This window comes from Homo sapiens, chromosome 1, assembly GCF_000001405.40.
Source record: "Homo sapiens chromosome 1, GRCh38.p14 Primary Assembly".
In the NCBI taxonomy this organism is placed as follows: Eukaryota; Metazoa; Chordata; class Mammalia; order Primates; family Hominidae; genus Homo; species Homo sapiens.
In genome coordinates this window covers 231,210,174-231,223,408 of record NC_000001.11, presented here as the reverse complement: position 1 = coordinate 231,223,408, position 13,235 = coordinate 231,210,174, and the positions used below count along the sequence as shown (strand labels likewise).

At 50.9% G+C, this 13,235-nt stretch overlaps 1 protein-coding gene across 3 annotated transcripts in view, besides 8 other annotated features; it reads right to left on the bottom strand.

Moving 5' to 3' along the window:
• Nucleotides 1-1,843: 1,843 nt before the first annotated feature.
• Nucleotides 1,844-13,235, bottom strand: part of TRIM67 (tripartite motif containing 67) — a 59,508-nt gene continuing 48,116 nt past the window's right edge. For all 3 annotated transcript variants that reach the window (NM_001004342.5, NM_001410937.1, NM_001300889.3), the window contains 2 exons: nt 9,432-9,594; nt 1,844-8,034 (listed from right to left, as the gene is read on the bottom strand). In NM_001004342.5, coding sequence (NP_001004342.3) covers nt 7,969-8,034; nt 9,432-9,594 — 229 coding nt within the window. In that variant the 3' untranslated portion in view covers nt 1,844-7,968. The remainder of the gene's footprint in view (nt 8,035-9,431; nt 9,595-13,235) is intronic.
• Nucleotides 2,082-2,582: an enhancer, noted in NCBI's record as "H3K4me1 hESC enhancer chr1:231356573-231357073 (GRCh37/hg19 assembly coordinates)". NCBI's record gives its function as "activates a minimal SCP1, AML or CMV promoter by ChIP-STARR-seq in primed H9 embryonic stem cells {active_cell/tissue: H9 hESC(primed)}" and the evidence as "EXISTENCE:reporter gene assay evidence [ECO:0000049][PMID:30033119]".
• Nucleotides 5,733-6,232: an enhancer, noted in NCBI's record as "H3K4me1 hESC enhancer chr1:231352923-231353422 (GRCh37/hg19 assembly coordinates)". NCBI's record gives its function as "activates a minimal SCP1, AML or CMV promoter by ChIP-STARR-seq in primed H9 embryonic stem cells {active_cell/tissue: H9 hESC(primed)}" and the evidence as "EXISTENCE:reporter gene assay evidence [ECO:0000049][PMID:30033119]".
• Nucleotides 6,764-6,823: a silencer, noted in NCBI's record as "silent region_1949". NCBI's record gives its function as "represses an Ori minimal core promoter by ATAC-STARR-seq in GM12878 lymphoblastoid cells {active_cell/tissue: GM12878}" and the evidence as "EXISTENCE:reporter gene assay evidence [ECO:0000049][PMID:35858748]".
• Nucleotides 7,924-8,033: an enhancer, noted in NCBI's record as "active region_2724". NCBI's record gives its function as "activates an Ori minimal core promoter by ATAC-STARR-seq in GM12878 lymphoblastoid cells {active_cell/tissue: GM12878}" and the evidence as "EXISTENCE:reporter gene assay evidence [ECO:0000049][PMID:35858748]".
• Nucleotides 7,924-8,448: a biological region, named in NCBI's record as "H3K4me1 hESC enhancer GRCh37_chr1:231350707-231351208".
• Nucleotides 7,947-8,448: an enhancer, noted in NCBI's record as "H3K4me1 hESC enhancer chr1:231350707-231351208 (GRCh37/hg19 assembly coordinates)". NCBI's record gives its function as "activates a minimal SCP1, AML or CMV promoter by ChIP-STARR-seq in naive H9 embryonic stem cells {active_cell/tissue: H9 hESC(naive)}" and the evidence as "EXISTENCE:reporter gene assay evidence [ECO:0000049][PMID:30033119]".
• Nucleotides 11,484-11,543: an enhancer, noted in NCBI's record as "active region_2723". NCBI's record gives its function as "activates an Ori minimal core promoter by ATAC-STARR-seq in GM12878 lymphoblastoid cells {active_cell/tissue: GM12878}" and the evidence as "EXISTENCE:reporter gene assay evidence [ECO:0000049][PMID:35858748]".
• Nucleotides 11,664-12,073: an enhancer, noted in NCBI's record as "active region_2722". NCBI's record gives its function as "activates an Ori minimal core promoter by ATAC-STARR-seq in GM12878 lymphoblastoid cells {active_cell/tissue: GM12878}" and the evidence as "EXISTENCE:reporter gene assay evidence [ECO:0000049][PMID:35858748]".

The window sequence follows — 13,235 nt, the reverse complement described above, 5'->3', positions numbered from 1 at the left end:
TAGCTGGGACAACAGGCGCACGCTGCCACGCCCAGCCAATTTTTTGTATTTTAGTAGAGACAGGGTTTCACCATGTTGCCCAGGCTGGTCTTGAACTCCTGAGCTCAGGCAATCTGCCTGCCTCAGCCTCCCAAAGTGCTGGGATTACAGACATGAGCCACCACGCTCGGCCTGTTTTTTCAGTTTTTTAGAGACAAGGCCTTGATCTGTCACCCAGGCTGTAGTGCCCCAGCACGATCATAACTCAATGTGGCCTCGAACTCTTGGGCTCAAGTGATTCTCTTGCCTCAGCCTCCAGAGTAGTTGGGACTAAAGGCATGTGCCACCACGCCCAGCTAATTTAAAAGATGTTTTGTAGGCCGGGTGCGGTGGCTCACGCCTGTAATCCCAGCACTTTGGGAGGCCAAGGCGGGCGGATCACGAGGTCAGGAGATCGAGACCATCCTGGCTAACACGGTGAAACCCTGTCTCTACTAAAAATACAAAAAATTAGCCGGGTGTGGTGGCAGGCTGAGGCCTTTATTGGTTCTGCGCAGCTCCATATCTCCCTCCATCCAATCCTGCTTCCTTCCCTGGGCCTCCATGAATTTTGATCCCAAGAGCTCGCCCTAAGAAACATTTGCTGTCTAATCTCTGCATCTGCCTCCTACTCAGCTGAGCCCATTCGGTAATCCCATAGGTCACTGGTGTTAGGGGCTGTCGGGGGCCATGTGAGACAGCTGCTCTTGAGGATCATGAGGTGAGAAAGCAGCAAAGGACAGAGTTCAGGTCAGGCATGTCTGGCCTTGGTCTGTGTAGCTCAAGGGGCAGGTGAGTCTCCTTGATGCTCATGGGTTCATTGGGATGTTTTCCGCAGATCTCTACGTGGAACCCATGATCTACTCTGCACTCATGGATCGACCTTAACCACATGGTAACTGTTAGGTATCTCCAGCCCTATTCCCTCTTGTAAAAATGAATTTTATGACCTTCCTGCTGTTTGTGGTCGGGCCTTCCGTTTTATTTTTTATTTTATTTTATTTTATTTTATTTTTTATTTTTATATTTTTTGAGAGGGAGTTTAGCTCTTGTTGCCCAGGCTGGAGTGCAATGGCACGATTTCGGCTCACTGCAACCTCCGCCTCTTGGGTTCAAGCAATTCTCCTGCCTCAGCTCCCAAGTAGCTGGGATTACAGGCATGCGCCCCCACACCCGGCTAATTTTTGTATTGTTTTAGTAGAGACGGGGTTTCACCATGTTGGCCAGGCTGGTCTCGAACTCCTGACCTCAGGTGATCTACCCGCCTCAGCCTCCCAAAGTGCTGAGATTACAGGTGTGAGCCACCCTGCGTGGCTATTTTTTTAATTTTTAACACAGGGTCTTGCTCTGTCACGCAGGCTGGAATGCAGTGGCACAATCATGGCTCACTGCAGCCTTGACCTCCAGGGCGCCAGCGATCCTCCCTCCTCAGCCTCCTGAGTAGCTGGGACTACAGGTGCACCACCACGGCTGGCTAATTTTTGTATTTTTGGTAGAGACGGAGTTTCACCATGTTGCCCAGGCTGGTCTCAAACTCCTGGCCTCAAGTGATCTGCCTGCCTTGGCCTCCCAAAGTTCTGGGATTACAGGTGTGAGCCACAGCACCCAGCCTAGTTTAGAGTCATATGTAATCACCCTGAGATTTCCTGGGCACGCGAAGCAGAACCACATTGACCCTGCTACTTAGTAACGCCCAGCCCCACTGGGGGAAGAGACCGTGTGGCCTCCCCTCCTGTAGCCTCTGCCCTGTCTGCTGGGCAGTCAGGGCCAGTTGGGAAAAAGGCAGACCTGACCACGGAGCAGGAATTACAGACCACATCTTGTCTTTCTGTTGTTGGCAGTGTCAAAAGAATTTATTTCAAATCTGCTTAAGACTGTGGTAAAACTCAGGTTTTCCAAAAGGTAATACAGAAAGTTCAACTAACCCCCAAAGACCAGAAAACACAGTGTTTGCAATTCAAAAAATACAAACGCTTGTGGATACCAATACAAAAATTAGAAAAAAGTTGCTTTCCTTACCACTCCCCGCTACCCCCCGTGTTTTCAGTGGAACATCCACAGCAATAGGACCAAGAGCTGCCACCAAATACCAACAACGAGTGACCGAAAGTGGATGTGATGGGGGAAGGGGAGGGAGGAGAAATGGGGATAAAGAAAGGCAAGAAAATTGGACTTCTGTCGACGGTCAAAACAAGGACGCGAAGCTTTTTGTTTCTTGTTAAATCCCTTTGCCAACGTTAAACAAACACCTCTCATGCTTAATACAACAGCTTAGTGCCAACGCAGCAATCCTACATCATGCATTGAATGTTTTCTGCTTTGCCCGCTCCCCACTTCTTCTGGGTGCCGAGAAAGCCTGGGGCTCTGGGTGTCTGGTTTCCAGGGCTAGGAGGAGTTGGAGAGGCTTCCCCGGCTGGGTCTCACCCAGTAAGCACCTGACATGTTCCTGCTACTGCAGTTGCAAGCAGTCACCTTCCCGAACCTGAAGCCTGGTTTTGGCCTCTCCTCAGAGCTTTACCCGAGGGCCTGGCCTGGTCTGCAGTGCCCGCATCACCGGCCCACAGGTCCCTAGGCCTTTCCCAGGACTGTGCTCCTTGAGAGAAGAGCGATGGATCCGGACGAGACTTCCCTGGAGGTCTCAACTCCCAGCTCCTGACTGATGTCAACGTCAATCATTGAAAAAGCCAGGGCCTCCCCCAACCTGCATAGCTCGTGCTGGTGAAGCCCCAGCAGTCCCAGCGGTTATCAGTCATCTGAAAGTGACATGATGACCCACTAGCCCAACCAGCCTTCAAAACTTCGGCTCAGTTGCATCTCTTCGTGCTATCCACACTGGATTTCAAACCCATTCACACTGCAGAGACCCCTCGAAACAAAGGAGGCAAGCTGTGAGATGAGAGACCCCTTAGATACCAGAACTTAGGTAACAAAGAAGGCAGAGGCCTGGGTTAGTGTCCTTCCTTGGTTTAAAGGGGCTTCTGCTCACAGAGGCCTTGAGGCCTCGCAGTGAGACTGCTGACAGGTAGCCTGTTCATAGCACTCACACAGAGCGCCATTCAAACAGGCCTCGCCGGGAATGGAAACATATGGGGTGTTACTTTCTATGGTCATAGGAAACCTGTCTTAAAGGTCTATTTTACCCACTGGAGGCCAGGCAGCTCCTTGCCCTGGTCACAAGGAGGCTTGGATGGAAGACACTGGTCAGAGAACACTGGAACGCCCCCCACAGGTTTGAGTCACTGAATGGGAATCATTAGCTTAGATGCCAGAGATGAAAGACTGCACTTTTTTTCTTTAAAAATGTTATTGTATAATCCTCACAATACATCAGAGGAGGTAGGTTAGTATGACTAGTCTCATTTCAGGTGGGGATACTGAGGCACAGAAAGGATAAGAGATTGGCCCCCACTCATACCATGAATCACTATTAAAGCCAGGTTAAAAGAGGGAAGTAACCGAGGGCTGAACTTGGTGTCTGATCAATACATCCTGCCCGAAACCTGCCCTCATATTTTTACAGCCTAGATATTAGGTTAAAGCTGCAGGATCCTTTGATCTTCTGGGAGGAACTGCCAAAGAATGTGGTCAACAAACACAGCTACCGGCTCACTTGCAAAAGAAAAGTCCTGAAATTTTCCAGCATCACCATCTTGAATATTTGCCAATAAGATCTGTTAGATTTTTTTAAAAACCAATTGAGGGCCACAAACCCATTAAGAAGTTCCTGTTGCTTCCAGTAAAATGTGGCCAAGGAAAACAAAGGTAACGAGTTTTGCTTTCTAGGAAGTGGGGAGCGGGCAGGGGGCATCTTCAGTGAGTGAAAATTCAAGACCCAACAGGTTGGCATCTGTTGGAGGTGGCTCACCCCATTTTCCCCTACCTGCCCCCTGAAGACACATGGAAAATCCTGGGCTTGGGTATCAAGATAAAGGCTGGCAGCTTTGTCACATACAGGCTTTCTATGGAACAAAGCAGCCGGAGCGCCACAGTCCCTCTACAGATCCATGCATGACAAACCACTGGCATAACCTGGTGGTTCTCAACTTGTGGAGGCCCCCAGGAGATACCTAGCAATGTCGACAGATACTTTTGGTTGTCACACCTAACTTGGGGGTTGCTACTGGCAGATGATGGGTAGAGACCAGGGATGTTGCTAAACATCCTACGGCATACAGAACCTATCGCAAAATGTCAGTAGAGGTTGAGAAACCCTGGCGCCACCCCACGGGCTGTGCAGCAGTGTTCTTTAGCATTCACATGTTGACTCCCCCTAAGGATTGACCCTCCCTCACTACCTCAAAGCCAGCAGGTGGCCATGGGACCAGCAGCAGCCTCCTTGACACTGAACCACCTGCCCACCGGTGCCGAAACCCGCCTTCCCAGGGGGACCAAGCCTTTCGCTTGCAATGAGAATTAAGGCTTAAATGCAAATATCCCTGGAAGAAATACACAAAGATCCTGCATTCTGATCCTTTCCTGAGAGTGCTGTGGTGGGGCGGAGGGCAGGGGCACCAAGAGGGAGAGAAAGGGCGCAAAGAGGAGGGTGGGCCTGCCCCCAGCTCTCTTGGTGAGCTCCACAGAGCCTGCCCAGGCTCAATCCGGAAAGCACCACCCTCCTCAAACTTGGTGGGCCATAGGGCACCTAGGGCGCTGTTGCAACTACAAAGTACATATCAGGCTGAAGATGCAGCCTGGAAATATATACAGTTTTATAGTGTTTAGGTCAGTTACCTTGTGGGTCAGTATTACTGGTGTCCTCTTTAATTGGAATCATTATTTTCCCAAGGAGAACAGAGAGAGGAAAAGCAGGCTTTGGGGAAATACCTTCCCCTGCTTTGAATTAGGAGCTGGGATGCTATGTATGCAGTGAGGTGCTAGTGGATATTTTCGGAAGAGATTAATTTTAAAAGGAAAAGGCATACACTTTGACCAAGCTTGCTCACTAGCAAAGAACAACTGCAGAACCACATTACAGAGGCACTATTTACAATGCAATGGAACTCGACATTTTTAAACTACTTTGAATTCCTTTTTCACTGAAACTGCTTGATAGATTTACACCAAGTTACTCCTCAGCCAGCCCAACAAAAGCCTCATCTTGATATCATTTATATGTATGTACAAATGTGCCACCATGATGTAACGTGTTATGGAATTCGATGGTGGATGAGAATTCCATGACCTGTCTGTCATTTCTACTCTGAAACCCGGGACCTTCCTGGCCATGAGGAATTGATAAGTTCCTTCTTCACTTTTCTGATCCCTCAAAAACACAAGTGTGTGGCACGGACCTGTCGTTCTCTTTGAAGTCAGAACATTGAAGGTGTTTTGTGCTGAAGACAGGAGAGGTGTCTGTGAAGGAGAGCTGGATGCTGTCCCTGGCATCGGCCGTATTGCTTCTGGGCTCCTGGAGGAGTCAGAAAAGGGAGAATCCCAGCCCCCAAGCTCAGGGTGGCAGTGGGGAGGAGGGAGTCCTGGCTGCACCTCTCTGGACTTCAGGGAACTTTTTTCTGAAAGAGGCCACCGGATTTGAGGGCATTACCCTCCTGCACTTTCCACTTCTCTCCTGACCTGGATGCTGCTCCCTCAAAGGGGTTAGGTTCAGGGTAGCCCCAGGCAACTTGTGCTCCAATGATGGGCGATTCTTCTGCAGAGCTGGGGCCACCTGGTGACCTGGGCTGTGGTGATGGTGGAGGCTCCACAGCCTTCCCCAGGGCTCCCCTGTGAGAAGCTGCTGTCACCAGGCAGCCCTGCCTAGCCCACTCTCATTCTGGGGGCAGGGTGTAGGCCTGTTTTTTTTTCAGAAGAGAGCTAGACACTTCCCAAAGCTGATGGCTTCCTTGGCCCCAGGAAAGTGGTGGCTCCTCTTCATCCTCAATCTTTAGGGATCGTCTCCATGCTCCAAGCAAAGGCCACCCAGAGCTATGGCTAAGGATGAAGCTGCAGGGATATGGGAGACAGAGGCAGAGGTGCGGGCAAGGACACAGGGTCCCAGGTCTTGTGTGTCACCACCAAGAGCTCTGGACAGGGCTCTGGGATGGGAGGAGGAGACCCAGAAACCGCTTGGTGAGATGACAAGGAAGAGGCAAGACCTAGACTTCCATGAAGCAGATAGCTCCCAGGCTCCGCAGCAGAGACTGCAACACAGCACCGAGCAGCTCCTGGAGACGGGGCAGCTGGCCTTGCCGGCCACATCTGCAGAGACAGCGGACCAAGCAGCCTTGCAGACCAAGAGCATGAGCTTTGAGGTAGGATTGTCGGGCCTGCTGAGTGGAGGGGGGGTACCTGCATGGCTCCGGCAGGCAGTTACTCAGAAAGCAGGCGCGGTGTCTGAACAGGAAGGCAGAACCAAGGACGCACAGTTGGTGCTGGTGAATGGGCGAATTTTATAAAAATCCAGTCCAGCAAATTGACAAGTCACTTCTCAGCCTCAGAAATAAAATGCTTGACAAAATATATTCTTTTTAAAAGGAGAGAGAAATGTTACTACCAGGTGGAGCTGGAGGTGGCAGGTGACTGGGAAGATGAGAGGAGGGAGGAGAGGAAGGGTTCCCTGGGAACAAGAGCCTGGCAGGCTCAAAACCCCTGCCATGAGCTGTCTCTGAGAGGTGTGGATGAATCAATGTGGATCTCAAGGGAGAAGCCTGGTGTTTCCAGAGTCCTGCCCTGGCAGGTCAGACTCGGCACACCCAGTCTCACAGTGGGAAGCTGGGAGACAAGGTACCTGATACTGCCCTTCTATTTCCTGCCTTCCCCAGAGATCCCGCCCACTGCATCAGGGCAGAGCCGTCCCGGCCTGCCACAGGGGCCACTTGTGTTCATGATGCTTTCATAATGACAATAGGGTGGACTGACTAGAACAGGCTTTCCCAGGGTCTCCCATTTTAAATGCTTATGAGTCTGAGAGTGGTTCAGCTCAGAAGAGCAATCTGGATGCATTTTCAGTTAACTTCTTGGGCTGCCAGTTTCAGAAAGGAGCCATCACCAGGCGAAGACCTATGACATAGTTGTTAAAATTCTTGTGTTTTCACGTGGATTTAAGAACTAAGAACTGAGTGAATTAATTTTAGGAGACTGTCATGCCTGTGTGTGTGTGAGAGAGAGAGAGAAGGAGGGAGGGAAAGAGAGCGAAAGAGGGAAGAAAGAGGCAGGGATGGAGGAAAGTAAGAGAGAAGGAGGAAAGGAAGAAAGAGAGAGCAAAGGAGGGAAGGAAGGAGAGAGAGAAGAAGAGAGAAAGAGAAGGAGGGAGGGAGAAGAAATGAAGGATGGAGGAAGAGAGAGAGAGAACACAATTGGCTGATTAATAAAGGAAGCCATTTTAAAAGGTTCTAACACTTCAGTGAGAGAGGCAAAAGTCAAGCATGAATGATTAATGTCCCTTTCTATCAATCCTGCATTGGGTCTGCAAGTGGCAGGTGCTACTAAAGACTCTAGGACCAAGAAGCTAAAAGATAACTTTCTCAGCATGATGAGAATCTGCAATCTCGGGACTCTGAGGAGGCAAGGTCCCCACGGAGGGCCAACACCCGGGGCGTGGGATTACAGCGCAGCTCCTGACTGCCGCTCTCAGGAGGCCAGTCTCAAAGTCTACCTTCCTCTCCCTCCAAAAAAAGACAAGCTTTGAAAACAGATGGCAGGAAACATAGACATGAAGCCCGAATGCTGACTCCCTTGAGAAAGGTCCTTCTTGGGGAGTGTTCGTAATGTCTGGGTGGAATAAGGGTGACACACGTACCTTCCTTTGCCACTGACAGTGGCAGCTGTGAGCATGGCCCGTGGACCCATTCCCTGCGTCCCCAAGAAAATGTGTTTCTATGACACTCCACGCTGCCAGGTTGCACCCATGATTTGCATATCCTGCTTTTGTGGGTTATTTGAGCTTAGTGAGAATGGTGGGCGTTTTGCCTGTGAATGTCACTGTCACAGGCACAGTGCCGAGCTGGAGCGGGGCTAATTGCCTGACAGCTTTGGCCGCCCCAGGTTAGTCGGCACTTCCAATCCTGTGTGCAGGGTGACCTGGAAAAGAAGACAGGGCAAGTGAGGGTGGGAGAGGCTGCCGCAGGGACCCTGAGGGCTCTGACAGCACCGCAGACACCGGCAGGATCCCCTGCTGGCTCCAGGGCCATCCATGCAATAGCTCAGGGCTGCTGTGGACTGTTGAATATTACGTCCCCCAGTATTCCTAATTAAAGGCTATGTTGGTTTGCACCTCTTTCCTCATAATAAGAATCACCCAGCTGACTGGTTCCTCATTTTGCCAGAGCTGCCACAGCTGGGCAAAGTAGACGCCATCACAGGAGCACGGCTCTCACGCACTGGCTCCCGTGGTTACATATTTGTGTCTACTTTCTAGCCATGACCTTCTTTCCTTTCCTATTAAACCCATTCTATTAACTGTGAGGAATTATAGCCAACCTCTTATTTTTTGGATTAAAAAAAGCTTATCTGTTCATTGGTAGAGATGGTGTCTTGTTCATTCCCCAGGCTGGTCTCAAACTTCTGGGCTCAAGCGATTCTCCTGCCATGGCCTCCCAAAGTACTGGAGTTACAGGCGTGAGCCACCATGTCAGGCCAAGCCTAAGCCTATCTTTTTTTTTTTTTTTTTTTTTTTTGAGATGAAGTCTCGCTCTATCACCCAGGCTGGAGTGCAGTGGTGCGATCTCGGCTCACTGGAAGCTCCGCCTCCCGGGTTCATGCCATTCTCCTACCTCAGCCTCCTGAGTAGCTGGGACTACAGGCACCCGCTACCATGCCCAGCTATTTTTTTTTTGTATTTTTAGTAGAGACAGGGTTTCACCGTGTTAGCCAGGATGGTCTCGATCTCCTGACCTCGTGATCCGCCTGCCTTGGCCTCCCAAAGTGCTGGGATTACAGGCGTAAGCCACCGCGCCCGGCCATAAGCCTATCTTTTAGGTTGCCACAAATCCCTTTTGCAAATGAGTAGAGGATCGAATCGATCAATCAGTGATTGATGTAGACTCCTCAATATTCAGGGCCACAAAACAGGACCTTGCTCCCCACACTCCAACTCCCCATCCCAAGGGGAGGAGGACTCTACTAAGACGAAGGATGGCACCTCCGTGTTTCTCCCTTCCTCACACCCTCCTGGGCTCTCATTCTTGTCTCTCTCTGTTTCAGGCCTCCTGAGCTACCAGCACTCCCCAGGGACTGAGCTCAGTCCTGAGGTCTGCGTCTCCAGAAGCTGCCACCTTAGGGCCCCTGGGTGTCCCAAGTGAACAGGTTAGAACGGAACGCCTCCAGGAAATGTCCAAGGCAGGCCAGTTGATAAGCTCTGTCTGGGAAGGCTCTGTGGTCAGCTTCTTTATGGCCCACTCTGCCCAAGGGCACTGCAGAGACCTGTGGCAAACAGTTGGGAGCAGCCAGACCAGGTCCGGCCCTGGGGAGGTGTGTACCTGCACGTTGCGGTTGAGGCTGAGGGCTGGCATGAAGACCCCGTCCACGTGGCTGAAGGCTGTGGGGCCCTGCTGCTGCCCGTTGATGAAGAAGGTGAGAGTGTGCTTATTCAGGTCCAGCAGCACGCCCACGGTGGCCCCCTTGCACACGCCACCTTCCGTCCTGGGAAGAGAGTCCCCAGGAAGACCATCACCACACCCAGCCTGGGATGTAGGTGATAACTCAGGAGAATTATTTACTTATTTAGAGACACGGTCTCACTCTGTCACCCAGGCTGGAGTGCAGTGACGCCATCTCGGTGCACAACAGCCTCGCCCTCCCAGGCTCAGGAGATCCTCCCACCTCAGCCTCCCGAGTAGCTGGGACTACAGGCGCATGACATGAGACCCAGCTAATTTTGTTTGTGTTTTTTGTAGAGATAGGAGTCTCACTATGTTACCCAGGCTGGTCTTGAACTCCTAGGCTCAAGCGATCTTCCCATTTTGGACTTCCAAAGTGCTGGGATTAAAGGCATGAGCCACTGTACCCGGCCAAGAAAATTATATATAGGATGCTGGGAACAACCTCACTTAAACATAGTCCCCAAGGTGGTGGTGAGGTGCTCTCCTGGGCACATGAGCCTTCTCTCACAGTGGACACACCTTGTTAACAGGCCATGATGAAGACTCCCCTAGAGGAACACCTCCAGGCTGTTCAACCCCCTCTTTCTGACAGCATCTGGGATCTGCGCACTAGAAAATTCGGGTTTTGATGAGAAGGTCCCATTTGAAACTGTGGAGCATGGAGAATGGGTAAGAAAGGCACCTTTTCCTGCCAAAGAAAATAACTGACTTGGCGCCCTTTTCTGTTTTAGGCAAGTGAGGATGCTGAGGTCGATGAAGATGTGGACATCCAGGCCTTCAGGAAATTTTGAAAGGCCCCTACTCAACATTGGCTCATCTTCCCAGAAACATCCTAGGGTCCCTCAAAAAGCAGCGTATGGCAGGCAGAAGGGTGCTGAAGTTGAAATCAAGTCCTCTGTCGCAGTCATTATCCCTCAGGTGACCAATAGCGGAACGTTGAGAATGTCCATTGTGCTCTTGATCAGTGTTGGCAACGTCGTACTTTGTAGGTGGTAAGAATTCACATCCACTCGGTGGAAGTGAATCTATAATAAAAGTAAGGAACATGCTCCCAAGGGGGGGCTTGGCTGACCACATCTTCTCCCATGGGCCGAATCCTGCAGACTCTCCTTCCCTTCCTTGAGGTGGTTTTTTGTTTTAGAGTGGCTGTTTCTCCCTGTGGCCCAGGCAGTGGTGCAATCATGGCTCACCGTTGCCTGGAACCCCTGGGCTCAACGGATCCTCCCACCTCAGCCTCCCGAATAGCTGGGACTGAAACGCCTAACCTTTTTACTCTAACTTGTTACTTTGAATTTTGTCCTGCTTGTCTCTTTAATCACCTAGCCTTGCTTCTCATGTAAATAAGACTCTCTCTAGCTGGGAAGGCTGGACAAACTCCAATTGACCTTTTAATTTACAAGACACTAAAGGCTCCTCACCTAACCCCCTTCCGTAAGGAGTTGGCCTGGGTAAACAGATCCTCAGCATTTCAAAAGAGCCCAATTAACTGATAAGGTACTAACACCAACAATGTATGAAGTTCTTAGGATTTTTCTCTAAGAGATAACAACATAAAACCTTGAGTTCGTGTCCGGCATAGACCTTATATCTAATTATAATGAAAGATTTAGAACCTTGCACCTGGTACCGTTGCTCTTCTTGTAACTATTTGTCTTTCAAGTTGTTTATCTCTCTGTAACTATTTTGCTTCTTTTGATTCTTGCATGTTTTTACTTCTGTAGAATTATTACATTTGAGTCCCCCTCCCCTTCCTAAACCTAAGTATAAAAGTTAATCGAGCTCGTTACTCGTGGCCGAGAGAATTTTGAGCATTAGCTGTCTCTTTGGCCACCGGCTTAATAAAGGACTCTTAATTCGTCTCAAAGTGTAGCGTTTCCTTAACTCGCCTAGGTACAACAGGACTACAGGCACACACCATGCCCGGCTAATTTTTAAATTATTTTATAGAGACGAGGGCCTCACTATGTTGCCCATGCTGGTCTTGGACTCCTGGGCTCAAGGGATCCTCCTGCCTCAGCCTCCTGAGTAGCTGAGACCACAGGCTTGAGCCACCGCGCCCGCTCAGGGCTGAGGTCTTAGCCTTAACCTTAGCAGCGCCACTCTGCTAAGAAAACCATGTTTGTCCTTCCAGATTGATAATGAGTTGATCTGCTGGACGCTGCTGGTAGGGCAGAGGGAAGGTGAGCAGCGAGGATTCACGACAGGAAGTCCCGAGGAGGACTTGGTGGGCGGCCCAGACAGGTGTTTCCGGAGAAGGCAGGGTTTCCCCCGAGGGTGCCCGGGGCGGGATCCGGCAGGTGGGAGAAGGAAACTAAAACCGCACTGTTGATGCTATTTGGACACCGACCACCGGGTGGCGGTAGTGACCCATGGGAGGTGCAGGAATGAGTCCAACCTAAGCAAAGCCTCAGGCCCCCAGTCAGCTCTGGGGTCCAACTTCCCGGCTGCCTCGGCTTCCTCCCAGATAGCGCTTACCCTACCCGATCCACATCCGAGGGTGGGAGGACATGCAGACAGGGGCAGGTTCTCTCTACCTTCTCATGGCCTCACTTCCCTTCTGCTTTTCTTACTGAGGTGGCACCAAGGGGCTGTCAAAGACAGCAAAGGCCCAAGAAGTGCTCCGCAGCCCTTGGGAGGGGTGTGGTGGCCAATGGCCAGGAGAGCTGGGGAGTCTGCACCACACAAACCAAGGCTGGGGTCCTGGGCTCAACCCTGACAGTATCAACTAGCCGCGTGACCCGAGCCGTTGTCTGACCTTCCTAAGCCCAGGCTTTTTAATATATATATTAAACAAACAAACAAAATATATATATATATATATATTTTTTTTTTTTGGTAGAGAGGAGGGTCTCACTATATTGCCCAGGCTGGTCTTGAACTCCTGGGCACAAGCGATCCTCCTGCCTCGGCCTCCCAAGTAGCTGAAACTACAGGTACACAGCACCATGCCTGGCTAATTTTTAAAATTACTATTATTTACAGAGACAGGGTCTCACTAAGTTGCCCAGGCTGGTCTCAAACACCTGGGCTCAAGCAATCCTTCTGCCTCGGCCTCCTTAAGTGCTGGGATTGCAGGTGCAAGCCACCATTCCAGCCTAAGCCCCAGTTTTATAATCTGTAAAATGGCAACAATAATAGTACCTTTGCAAGGATTAAATGAGCTCAGATACATCGAGTGCTTCCTACAGCATTGAGCACAAGTAAGGGTTTGATAAATGCTTCTTGTTATCACTCCTGCCAGCAAACAGGGTATCTGGGTGCCAGTTTGGTTTAAGCAAGCAGAGACGGAGCTGATGGGCCTGGACTTGGCCCCTCTGTGGGTGGGAGGGAGAGTGGCCAGCCTGCAGTGTCCGGGCAGAGGCACAGAGCTGCCCGCCTCTTCCCCAGGACTCAGGAGAGAAGGGGCCCTGCCTACAAGCAAAGAGGCAAGCAGATGGGGTCCTGAGGGCCCTCAGGCAAGTCCCTGGCCCAGATTAGACGTGGCTTCCCTGAGAAAGAAGAAGCTGGTCCTTCCTCTGCGGGAAGGTGCCCCAGGGGCTGTTATAGGAGCTGCAGGTGGGCCCAGAGCACTGAGAGCCTCCGGGTCAATTTTGCCTGGGGCTGGGGCCCAGCGAAGTCAAGGTCAGCTCTTGAAGTTCCTCACCCCTTCCTGCTGGGGAGATGGCCCTTAGCAGACCAGGA